At 37.9% G+C, this 14661-nt stretch overlaps 1 protein-coding gene across 5 annotated transcripts in view, besides 2 other annotated features; it reads right to left on the bottom strand.

Annotated features, from left to right (window-relative positions):
• IREB2 (iron responsive element binding protein 2) overlaps window positions 1–14661 on the bottom strand; it is a 64023-nt gene that overhangs the window by 32979 nt on the left and 16383 nt on the right. For all 5 annotated transcript variants that reach the window (NM_001354994.2, NM_004136.4, NM_001320941.2 and 2 more), the window contains exons 3-5: window positions 5388–5553; window positions 3087–3224; window positions 1986–2204 (exon numbers count right to left, since the gene is read on the bottom strand). In NM_001354994.2, coding sequence (NP_001341923.2) covers window positions 1986–2204; window positions 3087–3224; window positions 5388–5488 — 458 coding nt within the window. In that variant the 5' untranslated portion in view covers window positions 5489–5553. The remainder of the gene's footprint in view (window positions 1–1985; window positions 2205–3086; window positions 3225–5387; window positions 5554–14661) is intronic.
• Window positions 636–1136: an enhancer, noted in NCBI's record as "H3K4me1 hESC enhancer chr15:78759681-78760181 (GRCh37/hg19 assembly coordinates)". NCBI's record gives its function as "activates a minimal SCP1, AML or CMV promoter by ChIP-STARR-seq in primed H9 embryonic stem cells {active_cell/tissue: H9 hESC(primed)}" and the evidence as "EXISTENCE:reporter gene assay evidence [ECO:0000049][PMID:30033119]".
• Window positions 1137–1637: an enhancer, noted in NCBI's record as "H3K4me1 hESC enhancer chr15:78759180-78759680 (GRCh37/hg19 assembly coordinates)". NCBI's record gives its function as "activates a minimal SCP1, AML or CMV promoter by ChIP-STARR-seq in primed H9 embryonic stem cells {active_cell/tissue: H9 hESC(primed)}" and the evidence as "EXISTENCE:reporter gene assay evidence [ECO:0000049][PMID:30033119]".

Here is a 14661-nt window from a genome sequence, read left to right as displayed (position 1 = left end):
CCCAGTTCAAGACCAGCCTGGACAGCATAGTGCCCATCTCTACCCCAAAAAAAGGTAGATAAAATAAGTCAGGCCTGACAGTGTGTGCCTGTAGTCCCAGCTACTCTGGAGGCTGAGGCAGGAGGATCATTTAAGCCTAGGAGTTGGAGGCTGCAGTGGGCTACAGATGGTGCCACGGCACCTCAGCCTGGGTGACAGAGAGACCCTCCATCTCAAAAAAAAAGACAGTTTACTAACAATGGGATAAATTGTTATATTTTACATGAATTATTTAAACTAAGACAAAAACAATTCACATAACTCTCTTAAAAATAAAAATATGGCTGGGCACAGTAGCTCATGCTTATAATCCCAGCACTTTGGGCAGCCAAGGTGGAAGCATCACTTGAGGCCAGGAGTTCGAGACCAGTCTGGGCAACACAGTGACACCCCCTGTATACAGAAAAAATCAGCCAGGCATGGTGGTGCATGCCTGAAGTTCCAGCTACTTGGGAAGCTGAGGTGGGAGGATCACCTGAGTCCAAGAGATCGAGACTGCAGTGAGCCATGCTTATGACACTGCACTTCAGCCCAGGCAATAGAGTGAGACTCTGTCTCAAAACAAAACAAAACAAAAAAAACCAACTTTTGAAGGTCAAGGCAGACAGATCGCTTGAGCCTAAGAGTTTGAGACCAGCATGGGCAACATAGTGAGACCTTGTCTCTAAAAATAAATAAATAAATTTTAAAAGTTTGGAAACTTTATAGTACATATTTTAAAAAGCTGTATGACTTTTTTTTTTTCTGAGACAGAGTCTTGCTCTGTCACCCAGGCTGGAGTGCAGTGGCGTGATCTCGGCTCACTGTGATCCCTGCCTCCTGGTACAAGCGATTCTCATGCCTCAGCCACCCAAGTATCTGGGATTACAGGTTCCTGCCACCATGCCTGGCTAATTTTGTATTTTTAGTAGAGATGGGGTTTCGCCATGTTTGCCAGGCTGGCCTCGAACTCCTGACCTCAGGTGATCTGCCTGCCCCGGCCTCCCAAAGTGCTGGAATTCCAGGCATGCGCCACCGCGCCTGGCCATAGAACTCTTTTTCTTATTTAAAAAAATTACACATTAGGAAATCTAGCCAAATCCTAGGAATAGAATTCTTTTCTAGGCATGTTTACTACTTTCCATGTTACCATATAGGAAATCACTTATTTAGAAGGACTTACTAGATTTGAAACATAAAAAACAAAAATTTTATCGTTAACATACGGCTCTTTTTTTTTTTTTTTTTGCGACAGTCTCACTCCGTCACACCCAGGCTGGAGTGCAGTGGCATGATCTTGGCTCACTGCAACCTCCCCTCCTGGGTTCAAGAGATTCTCCTGCCTCAGCCTCCTGACTAGCTGGGACCACAGGGGCGCGACACCACACCCGGGTAATTTTTTGTAGACACAGGGTTTCACCAGTGCTGCCCAGGCTGGTCTCAAACTCCTGAGCTCAAGTGATCCACCTGCTCTGGCCTCCCAAAGTGCTAGGATTACAGTCATGAGCCACTACGCCCAGCCAACATAGAGCTCTTAATGCAATAGGAAAAGATAAGAAACCCCCTAGTAGGAAAAAAATGTTAAAAATATATACAGGGAATTAACATAAGAAATATGAATGACTAACGAGTATATGAATGGTACAAATATACTAAAATAAAAATTTTAGTTTAAAATGAGATCCCATTTTTCTGCTTACAGTCGTCAAAAAGATGAATTCTATTTACAGATAAATCTTAAGAAAAGTTTGCTTTCTTAGTAATGGTAAGAGAGAATGGTACTTAGAGATCACCATTTTCACTAAATTTACTTCTTTTAGTATAACAGGAAATACATATAAAAATTCAATTCAGTACTTAAGTGTGAAGGTAACATAATAGTAATTGGGTGGGAAGAGAATAAATTTGATTTTCTTAACTGGAAAATAACCTGGTATTAATAAACTTTAAGAAAAACAATCTCATACTCAGGCACTGGTTGCAAATGAAAAGGACACAGGATGGGTGTATTCTCAATCTGCGAAGAAAATGTTCCTGAGTTTCGGCCTAGTTCTCCAGAATCACAAGATCCTCGGCAGGTAGTCTGGCCTCTGCAGGGAAGCTTCTTAGGCTGCACTTTAAGTGGAGAGAGCTTTCCTGCTTTCTGCAGGTCACCACCTCCAGGATTTGGTGCATTCTGTATTGCACTGTCATTCCAAAAAGAAAACAAAATAAAGCCATTTAAAAGGGACACAAATTTAGCTCTTAAAAAAAAACGCACATTAGCAACGCTATCTGGAAGTAACTGAATGATGTTTAAAGGCTAATGTATCATTTAACTCAGGTTTCAAAGGCAAATCTCAGATTATATATATATAAAAAAAGAAACAGGTCATTTAAATTTACAGAAATGAAAACAGAATTCTAAGCGTCCAGTAAAATCACTTTCAAATACTCTACTAATTTAAATAACTTTTAGCAAGTACTGAAATAGATTTTTTCCCCCTAACAACTTAAAAGAAATTTAGAGCTACAGTTTATCTCGAGGGCAAAACCTCTCTCATGGGCTATAATAAATTGCAGTCTTATTCTACTACTCCAGGGAACGTTTTTAAAAAGTTACTTTATGGCAACAGAAATATGTCTTCTCTAGTTTGGTCTTGGTCAAAGGGGCCTTATAAATACAAGAAACTTATTTCAGAGGAAGGAAAATAGAGCTTTAGTGAGTTCAATGTTTTTAATCACCAAATAATTAAAAACATTCATGACTCACATCTTTCGATTCTTTCTGAAAGACAAGTAGGTTAAAAAACAAAAAAGGAAACAAAGACTGAATACAGAGGTTCACTCCAAAAAGCAGGTCCTAGGCTTATTCATTTCTATCAAAAACGGCAGCAGAAATACAAGAACATGAAAAAAACCCCACCACTCCATAAACTTTTCACCAGTTTTAGCTTTTATATACTAGCCAATACTAAATTTAGCATACTTTTCTCTGCCATAAATTATCTCTATTCCTTTTCCTCTACATGACACATTTCCAGCCAATTAACTTGCATGGCTGTCTATAAATATCTGCATTGAAGTACCATTTACTGAAGTCAATTTGTAAAGAATGGTCAACTGTAAGATCTGTCGGACAAGCAGGATGGACTTTCTCAGGATCACCTCCAAGAGTTTTCACTGCCTCCCTCATAGCAGCAAAATCCACCATTGCTGGTATTCCACTAAAAAATAAAGAATGGTCAAATTATAGTCCAAATTGTTTTTTATACATGCTTAATAAATGATAAACTTTTTCATTTTCATATTTTAAAAAGTATCCCTGTCTAGTTTACATTCATTTTTCATAATGTACTTTATAAGTTAGGAGTATCCTGTTTAATAAGAATTAACATTAAACATTATCTGAGAACTGAAGTACTTGGGCAAATATGCCAAAAATAATAAGAGATAATTTTTGAGGCATAAGCGAACTTCAGGGAAAATGCCTGTGAAACTCTTGCCATGTATTTTTTTGATGCACCTTCCCCTTTCCCTAGTTCCAGCCCCTTCCCCCTAGTGCCTTCGTGTTGCCCCAAAGCTATCCACAGTAGCTTTTGCCATTTTACATTCATCCACCCATCTATCCAGCCAACTATACAACAAGCATTTATCAAATGCCTTCAGTGTGCTAGACACCAATGGTACAAGGCCAAATAAGACATAGTTCTGGCTCTCAAAAAAATTTTAGGGAAGATAATGATTAAAGAATAGTATCGTAAGTACTATAATAGCTGCATACAATAACAGCTTGAGCCCAGGAGGTCGATGCTGCAGTGAACTATGATCACATCACTACACTCCAGCCTAGGTGACAGAGTGTGACTGTATCTCAAAATAAGATCAAGTTTTCAACATGTTAAGTTTGAGAAACCTATTGGTTATGTGGAAATCATAAGCAGGTAGTTAAGAAAAGCAGTTTCTGAATAAATGGTGTAAGAAATATCATTTATTTCTTATGCGGCTATGTATCGTAAGTACCATAATAGCAGCATACATAGGGTACAAAGAGCTGTGGCACACAAACCAGATTTGAGTGGGTGGGTGAAGAGGATGTTCCAGCTAACCTCTACGCCTCTTTCAAAACTCAGCTCAAGGTTAACTCTTCCAATAAATAATCCTTGGACACCTAGATCAGGCAAAATCTTTCAGAGTATGGTAAAGGCTCTGGATTTTAAGTGTGATGGAAGCCAACTGGTATATGGAGGGATAATACGACTTAACATTTGTAACCAAGTCACTCCATCTACTGTGTAAAGAACAGACTATTGATTGCAAGTGTGACAGCAAGGATACCAGTTAAGAGACTATTGCAGTTATAGTCCAGGTTAAGAGAGAATGGGACTAGAACCACAATGACAGTGATAGAGATGGAAAGAAATAATTGGACACAAGATATATTTAAAAGGTAGCACTGACAGAGCTTGCTGATAGACTGGGTTAGAGGGTATTAAAGAAAGAGAAAAATCAAGGCTAACTCCTAGATTTGAAGCCTAAACAAATGGGAGTGTATGGTGCCATTTACTATAACAGAAAAGACTTAGAAAGAAATAGGTGAGTTGAGATAGACAATCAAAAACTCAAGTTTTGATGGCTGGGTACGGTGGCTCATGCCTATAATCCCAGAGCTTTGGGAGGCAGAGGCAGGAGGATCGCTTGAGCCCAGGAGGTTGAGGCTGCAGTGAACTATGACTGCATTACTGCACTCTCGCCTAGGTGACAGAGTGAGACTACCTCAAAATAAAATCAAGTTTTCAATATGTTAAGTTTGAGAAACCTATTGAGAGATCATAAGAAGGTAGTTAAACAAAAGCAGTTTTTGAATAAATGGTACAAAACAGTGCCTAATTTTTAATGAATTGCTTCAGTTTAGAAAGGGCAAAATTTTTAAGTTTATAAACTAACCTTAAAAAAACAAACAAAAACAAAACAAAACAAAAAAACACAGAGCCATCCATTAGGAAGTCTGATTTTTTATTTTATTTTTTATTTTTAGAGACAGGGTCTTGCATTGTCACCCAGGCTGGAGTGCAGTGGTGTGATCACAGCTCACTGCAGCCTCAACCTCCTGGGCTTAAGTAATCCTCCCACCTCAGCCTCCAGAGTAGCTGGGACTACAGGCATGCACCATTACATTCGGCTAATTAAAAAAATTTTTTTGTACAGACAGCGTCTCACTATGTTGCCCAGACTGACTGCAAACTCCCAGGCTCAAGTGATCTTCCTGCCTTGGCCTCCCAAAGTACTGGGATTAGAGGTATGAACAACCACACCTACCCAAGAGTCTGTATTTTAAAAAGGAAACACACTCTAAGAGTTCATTCACAAAAAATAAACCCATTACTCACGTAAAATCTTGAAGAAGAACACGGGCAGGGAAAAAGGGCACTTCAACATTGCTTTGTTTGGTTTTCCAGTCTAAAATGTTCATAACATCTTCCTTCTTCATTAAAAAGCCATCACAATTTCGTACAGCAGCTTCCAACAAGACCCGTATTGAGTAAGGCAGAACATCTGATTCAAGAAAATATTACTATTAATAAGCAAACAGTCATACCTATATATTATTTTTAAAATGCCATAGCAAAAAGTTAGACAAAGACAAAAATGCACTGTTTTCTCAATTTAAACAATTCATTTTTAGTCTGACAAACTAGAGTGTAACACCATTCGTGTTAACATCAGGTGTTTTGTAACTGACTTTCCTGTACATAACCTCAAAGCCTTGAAAAAAGCAGAGATAAAAACCTTCATACAAGAGCTGCATTAATTTAGGAATATCATACTGCAACTATGACAAATACTTCATATTCAAGGAATTCACAGAAAAACTAAAAAAAAGCACAGAATATCAGAATTCAATTCAATAATGCAGACATCCCCTGGTATGGCAAAAAGAAAATGATTAAACTGTATAAATGTCTGTAATAAATTTAAAATTTTCCATCAAAAATGATTAAAGTTTAAAAGTAAATTGGAATGCCTGAGTGAGTAAAATTCATTTCACGAAAACTTTGATTCACTCTTAATTACTTCAAGGACACAATTGAGAAAGTGATTTCAATATTTTAAAATTTTCAATCATATTAAATTCTCACACCAGATTGTGCCACACAAAAGTGTTTCCTTAGGATTTAAAGAGAAGACTGAATTAATATGGGGTTAGTTGAATAAATCACTGTAATCCACACAATGGATTACCATGCAGCTGTTTAAAGGAGTGAAGAGTTACATGCTGATAAACAGTGAGCTCCAGAATATATATCATTAAGAGAAAAAGCAGGGCAGAACAGTGTTTATAGTATGCTAACTTTCCTGTAAGAAAGAGAGTTTAAAAACATATCCATAATATATTATTTTAAAATAAACATAAGATCATCAAATGTGTATTATGAGAAATATAATTTTAAAAATATATTAGCATGCATATTTTAACAAAAAGAAACAACGAAAGGATAAACAAAAAAACTAAGCATATATCTCACACGGTATTTCCACTGTACTTCCTTATTGGGAGTACCTTTTTGGTACAAAAAGGTATCACAAAGAAAGAAAACTATATTCAGTCATTAGTGCTGCTATTCAGAGATTGTGACTGGTGTAACAAGCAGCAAGCAAAAAAGTACTTTTTGTTACTATGGTTTCAAGAGCACAGAAGTATAAAATCAGAGTAGCTAATGAGAGCTAAAGTAACACTAAGTATTTTTTTGTTATTTCACAGGAGCGTTTGCATTTCCTGCTCACTGGGTGAGGTGGAGGGGGGCGAGGAGGAGGAAGTATGCAGAGAGAAGACTTCTGTGCCTGTGAGTTACATTAGTTCAGATTGTCTAACCATTGTTCTATATATGTAATTTAGTTAATACTGTTGTGTGTAAAGGATAAACAACTCCTAAGGCTCAAAGTATGTTAAAAGTAGAGGCAGTAAAATAATCCGTTTTTAAACATCCTTTTTTTTAGGAAGGCCTGTCTTCTGGGAGTGGTATTTGTTAACCTACTTCTAAGAGCTAGATGCAGTAATGTACTTAGTCACTGAAATGATAGAAGAGGGAAAAGGGGTGAAGGGTAAGGCTCTTTACTAGTGTCTCCATATCCAGAGGACAGGTTTTAGATTTTAACCATAGGTCTCTATGTGCATTTTTGGTAACTCATCTGTTTACTGTGAACAAAGTTCAATCTTTATTTTGCAACATCTAAGCTTTATAGATGTCCTGAGGTGACAATGTATGATAAAAAGCAGAGATAGTGAGTTAGCCAATTTGTAAATATCTTGGTATAATTGATGGAAAAGACGCATCTTGAACATGGAACTGTTAAACCACCTAGGTAGGGTGTATCAGGACTCATTCAATAGGTTGGCAGCTGAACGGCAGAAGGTAGCTTTGGGGTTCTGAACTAATAAATGTTCATGATATGTGAAAAAGCATGATACATACTGTATGATCTCAATCACATAAAAATGGATGTTATGTATATACACACACAAGACCTAGAAGGGCATGTCAAACTGCTTATGATTGTGGATGACTCTGTTCCTCATTTCTTGTGTTTTTCAGTTTCCAATAGCGCACGTTAATTTTTTTTAAAATGAAGCTTATTTTTAAAATCTGGAAAAAAAAATCACAGTAGCCAAGTTAAGTCCTTACATTTCAATTATAAACATGGATACGAACTCATGATTTATTTTTCTCTTCCTAAAAATTAGGTATTTTCTAGCTCTGTCACTGAAAATGCCTAGAATAACAACCCAACAGTAACAAACCCTTAACAACTGTTTGTTGTTTCTAAAAACTATTTCCTAAACACACACAACAGAACAGTTTTTCAGAGAAATGACTGATTCTAATCTGGAGAAGGATTTGTACAAAATGAGCCTGGATATCTTGTGTCCGAAACCAAAGAAGTTATCAAAGACTAATGGGGACACTAACGGGTCAATCTGAGCATCAAAATGAGTAATAACTATAATTCACCAAAATACATCAAATATATAAGTAGCCCTTAGTTCATAATGACTCTTAAAAAACCTTTCATTGATCACCAATGAGAGTTGCTAGGGCATCAACTCATTACTCTGAAAACTGACAAATAAAGGGGGAAAATCAATAGTTAATATTATCTTTCCTCCTTTCAGGTAACCAAATAGACAAAAGTACTTTGTTATAGAAGAATTACAGCTAGTAAATGTGGAAGAAACGATGTAATCTGAAAGATCACCAATGTGCAACACCTAATGAAATAATGGATCTAGATAATGGTCACAAATGGGTGCTAAAATCATTAGGATTTATGTGGATGGCGCGCTTACAAGCTGGTAACACTCATACCCACTTAGCATCACCAAAAGTAAGATATTAGAGATATTATTTGCCTCCTGATGAAACAAAAAACTACATGTTCCAACTAGGAAGTGTTCTCGCAAAAATAAGAACACTTACTATCTTGCAAAAATAAACCTGAATCTAATTAAACCTCTAGCTCTAACTTCCAGTTAACTGAAAACATGGGGGTTAGTAGGAAAGTAAAATGAAACCCCAAAGAAGCTATCAGCCAAATCTAGAATGTGGGACATTCTACAGGATAAAGAACCTAGGTTTTTCAACATAAAAATGGCACGAAAAAAGAGGAGAGGAAGACTATTACAGATTACAAGAAACTTAAAAGACGTAACAACCAAATACTGTGTTGGCCCTATTTGGATACTGTTTCAACAAACCAAATGTAAAAATGTATTTTTGAGATAACCAGAAAAATCTGAATACGAACTCAGTTTTAGATTTTATTAAGTGGCCAGGCACGGTGGCTCACCGCCTGTAATCGCAAAATTTTGGGAGGCCGACGTGGGTGGATCACTCGAGGTCAAGAGTTACAGACCAGCCTGACCAACATGGCGAAACCCCGTCTCTACTAAAAATACAAAAATTAGCCTGGCATGGTGGCATGCACCTGTAATCCAAGCTATTCAGGAGGCTGAGGCTCAAGAATTGCTTGAACCCAGGAGGCAGATTCTACACCGAGCGGAGACCTTGCCACTGCACTCCAGCCTGGGCAACAGAGCGAGACTCTGTCTCAAAAAACAAAAAACAAAAAAACCAAAACAAACAAACAAAAAACCCAATTATATTAAGGGATTACTTAATTTTGTTAGGTATAACAATGGCACTGTGATTTTTTAAAAGTCCTTTTATATAACAGCTATGCATATGGAAGAATATTTACAGGTTAAAATATGGTAAAATATATGAAACAAAAGATTGGCAAAATGCTGATAAATGGCTGACAATTACATGGTGGGTTACAAAAGTATTCTCACGCTACTTTTTTTTCCCGTTAAGAATATACTTATTGGCCAGGTATGGTGGCACATACCTGTAATCCCCGCACTTTGGGAGGGGGGACTGCTTGAGTCCAGGAGATCAAGACTAGCCTGGGCAACATGGTGGAAACCCCATCTCTACTAAAAATACAAAAAACTAGCCAGGTATCCTGGTGTGAGAGTGTGGCTCCAGCTCCTTGGGAGGCTGAGATGGGAGAACCACCTGAGGCTGGGAAGTCAAGGCTGATCTTGCCACTGCACTCCAGCCCGGGAAATGGGAGTGAGACCCTGTCTCAAAAAACAACAACAAAACGAATATATTTATTGACTTTTCTAGTATGTTCCAGCACTAGGTGAACAAATGAGACGTGGTATCTGCTCTTATGAAGCTGGCGCCTACTAGGAGATTCAGACCATAAACAAGTAAACAAATAAATATTTAGAAACAGTGGCAGGTGCTATGAGGGAGGTGAGTAGGGTTCAGGACAGAAAATAACACCCTTAGATGGGGTGAGTGGTGAAGGCACCTCTGAGAAAGCATGATGACCAGCTGGGAACGGTGGCTCATGCTTGTAATCCTAGCACTTTGGGAGGTGAGGCTGGAGGATCATTTGAGGTGAGGAGTTTGAGACTAGCCTGGCCAACATAATGAGAGGCTTAATTTTTTTAGAGAAGTTGTAGGTTCACAGCAAAACTGAGAGGAAGGTATAGAGATTTCCCATATACTCCCTACTCCCACAAGTACGTAGCCTCCCACACTATCAACATTCCCCACCAGAGCTGTATATTTATTACAATTGATGAACCTGTATCAGCATATCACAATCACCCCAACCCCACAGTTTACATTAGGGTTCACTCTTAGTGTTGTGTATTTCCCTACTTTCATGTTTGAAATTTTTCACACACAAAGACCCATAAAGTTGTACGTAAAGTAGAAAAAGGATTACAGTTATCAGAAATACTAGATTCAAAGCCTGTATTTACTACAGGTATGGCCTTTGGAAAGTGACTAAGTTGATACATTTTCTCACTAAAATGGGACTGTCAGCTACCTAACAGAGATGTGAAGAATATCTTCCTTACCTCGTCTATCTAGTTGGTACATGTAAAGCTCTCAAATTACAATAAATAGTTGGCACTTAACCAATATTAGTTTCCATCCTTACTTCAATCAGAAACATAAAAATTCCCCAAACCAAGGGGAATTACAGGGGAAAAATTTTTTAATAGAACATTTGGAGATAATGAGAAGGAAAATATTATCACAGAAATTATATACAAGATTAACCTTTTATTTAGATAATTATTATGGAAAAACAATCTCAGGAATATTTTTTGTTTATAAAAGTTATAAACCCACTAGAAAAAAAGTGACAGGGTGAGGCAAAGCCAAAAAAATTTTGAAAAACAAAGTATTACTAGATGGATGACTGGTAATGGACTGAGCAGAACAGAGGAGAGACAGCTGAAACTTAAAATGTCTACATGGGGGAAAGGCAAGCAGAAACAAAGTTTAGGAAATCAGGATTGCCTGAGATTTCTTATGAGGAGTGTTAAAAGCTAGCAGACAATGGAAAAATGCCTTCAAAATTCCAAATGAAAATAATTTCCAACCAAGAAATTTACACACAGGAAAACTATCAATTAATCAAGCAAGGTCTCAAAAATGTATTTCTCAGGCATCCTTTCTTAGGAATCTAGTAGAGGACATGCTCTATAAAATCAGAGAGTAAACAAAAAACAGAAAACCACTAAATCTTGGAGAGTCTCCAAAACAAAGAGAGAGCAGACTCTTCTACAACAACGGCTGTGCAAGCTACAATGCAGTCAGTCCCAGATGGACCAGAAGATGAAGTCCAGATAGCATGTCATCAACAGAAGAAAAAAAAATAACCAATAGATTACATGATTATACCAGGAGGAGGAATTTAGTTCTTTTGGAGAGTTCAGAGATGATTTATTCATAAGGACATAGAGTACTAAGCAAACAAAAAAAGGCAATCCATTAATCCCAGGAAAAATACAAAGTTATATGAGAGATGAGATACAATCATCATTACTACAAGGATTGGCTAAGAACATTTATAGTCATAACATAAATGCTCAACATTGATTCCACCAAAAATTATGAGTTGCATAAATATACAGAAGAAGTGCCAAATTACCATTTTCACAGTATAAAACTACTAAAGTCTAAAATCGGAAAATCAAGAAAGAGTAGTATAAGAAGGGCAATTTAACAACATGGAGGAAATTACCTGAAGAAACAGTCAAGAGAATTGAAAATAGTATTCTCTGGGGAGTAGAAATTGGGGACAGGGCAAAAGGCTACTGTTTTAGTTATAATTTAACAAGTAGGGTATTAAAAAATTCTTATTTAAAAATTAAAAAGCAATTATCAAATAAGAGTGCTACGAGAAAACACTAATCACAAATGTATTTTTTTTTTTTTTTGAGATAAGGACTTGCTCTGTCACCCAAGCTAGAGTGCAGTGGCACGATCATGGCTCACTACACCCTTGACCTCCTGGGCTCGGGCAATCCTCCCACCTCAGCCTCCAGAGTAGCTGAGCTACAGGCGTATACCACTATGCCCAGCTGATTCTCGTAATTTTTTTTTGTAGCAATAGGGTTTCGCCATGTTGCCCAGGGAGTTCTCGAACTCCTGGGCTCAAGCAATCCTCCCACCTTGGCCTCCCAAAGTACTGGGATTACAGGCATAAGCCAGCCACCACACCTGGTCCCACAAATGTTAACTCAACATTTTGTCATGAAGAAGCACCAACTATCTCAAATTTGTCTAAATTTGTAAAAGTAATGACTAGAGACCTACTGCCAGGGAAGATGCAAATGAATAAAAATACCACTGTCTCTCAAAACAAAAACAAAATTTCTTATTTCTCCCTGTGGTAGCCAATCTCCAAGATGATACCAATAATACTTGCCTTCTGATAGTCATGCTCTCATATAATCTGTATTGAAATCAGTTCTGCTTGTCTGACTCTATTTAGAGTATGGCAGAGATGACAGTGTGAGCCTTCCAAAGCTAGGCTATAAAAGTCTTTTGGCTTCAACCTTCCTCTCTTAGATTACTCGGTGAAAAGCCAGCAGCCTATTATGAGACTATTGAGCAGCACTGAGGAGAGGCCCTTATGGAAAAGAACTGAAGCCTCTCCATCATCAGGGAGCGCCAGCCTGTCAGCCATGTGAGTGAGGCCTTGGGCCAGGACTATCGACTAAGCCACTGCAAATTCCTGACCTACAGAAACTGTGACTGTCATAAATCTTTACTGTTGCTTTTGGTTTGTTATGCAGTAATAGATAACAAATATCTTTTCTTCCTCAACTTTTCCAACAATATCATCTGCAGTTGTTTATTTAGGACTAAGGGGCAGATGCAGAGGTGCTTTATATAAATTATTCCATTTAACCCTTAAATTAAACCTACAGGTAGATATTCCAGTAGAAGAGTTACAACAATAGAGAGTAAATTAGCAGATGTGAAAAATGGACATATGCTCTGGTTTTTTTCTTTTTTTCTTTTTTTTTTCAATAGAGATGGGATTTTCCTATGTTGCCCAGGATGGTCTCCCAACTTCTGGCCTCGAGCAATCCTCCAGCCTTGGCCTTCCAAAGTGCTGGGATTAAAGGCAGGAGACACTATGTCCAGCCTTGGTTTGCTTTTTCAACAATATTAATTCTACGTCCCCACTTTCAAACAGGTATAAAGTTCAGGAAGGCCCATTTATTTCCTTTCTTCCTCCCTACTCTCCCCATCTCACCTCTACATACGCTCTTGTGCTCCAACTATACCATCTTGCAAGCTTCCTAAACTTCAGAACCTCTCTGATCCCCACTCTTACCACATCTGTTCTTCAATACTGTGGGGACTTTCTCCTTACTCGTTGGCACCAGCCTATCCACGCTTTCCTTACTTAGGCAGTTAGGGTCAATGTGGTTCAATCTCTCACTTCCCCAAACCCTACATTTATTTCCTCTTTGTTCTTTTACCCCATTTGCCCAAGAAAACACCAATCCTGTTCTTTTTTCACCCCGTCCCCGCAGCTGGTCCACTCCACATCACCTCCCTGCTTAAGAACTATTCTCTCTTTTTTAAAACTAACTTTACTGGCTGGGCACAGTGGCTCATGCCTGTAATCCCAGCACTTTGAGAGGCCAAGGTAAGAGGATCACTTGACCCTAGGAATTCGGACAACCTGGGCAACATAACAAGATCATCTCTACAAGAAAATAAAAAATTCATCAGGCACAGTGGTGTGCACCTGTGATCCTAACTACTAACGAGGCTGAAGCGGGAGGCTCCCTTGAGCCCAGGAGGTCAAGGCTGCAGTGAGCCGTGATCATGCCACTGCACTCCAGCCTGGGCGACAGAGTAAGACCCTGTCTCTAAATAAATAATAAAACAAGTCCTAAGTTTATTAAGGCATATTGTATATATCTTATAATTCATCCTTTCCAAGTGTATGATTTAGCGATTTTTGTAACGTAAGTTTACCAAGTTGTACAATCAACATCATAAATCAGTTTTAGAACATTTTCATCATCCCAACAGATCTCTCATGCCTATTTACTGTTAATCCCTCTCCCCCTCCTCTCTAACCCAAGAAACCACCAATCTACTCTATGCCTTTCCTGGGCATTTCATATGAATGAAATCATAAAATAAAGTTTCTTATGCCTGTATTTTTTTCACTAAGCCTGCTTTTTACAGTTCATCCACATTGTAGCAAGTATCTGTAGTCAATTTCTTTTTACTGCCAAATAGTATTCCATTGTATACCAAAGTTTTGCCTATTCATTCACCCACTGCAGGACATTTAAGTTGGTTTCAATTTTCGGCTATGAATAATGCTGCTAAGATCATTTGAAAATCTTTGTGTAATAAATGTTTTCATTTTTCTTGGATAGATACTTAGGAATGATATTGCTGGGCTACGTGGTAAATTTATGTTTAACTTTTTAACAAACTGCCAAATTGTTTCCCAAAGTGGCTGCACTATTTTACATTCCCACTAGCAGTGTATGAGGTTTCCCATTTCTCCATATCCTCCCCAACATTTGTCACTGTCTGTCTTTTATACAGTACCCATTCTAACAGGTATGAATGGTAATTTGTTGTGGTTTTAAGTTTTATGTTGAGGAGGAAGAATGAGGAAAAAATTCCTAAAACATCAACGCAGAGAAACTGGCACTAATGTAAACACATGATTATAACCTCAATCAGGTCCTCACTATTCGAAATCCTAATGTTTCTCTGATCTGCTTATTTTCCCACACTCCACATC

Source organism: Homo sapiens, chromosome 15 (genome assembly GCF_000001405.40).
Source record: "Homo sapiens chromosome 15, GRCh38.p14 Primary Assembly".
NCBI classification, from domain to species: domain Eukaryota; kingdom Metazoa; phylum Chordata; class Mammalia; order Primates; family Hominidae; genus Homo; species Homo sapiens.
This window is presented reverse-complemented; position numbering and strand designations above follow the sequence as displayed.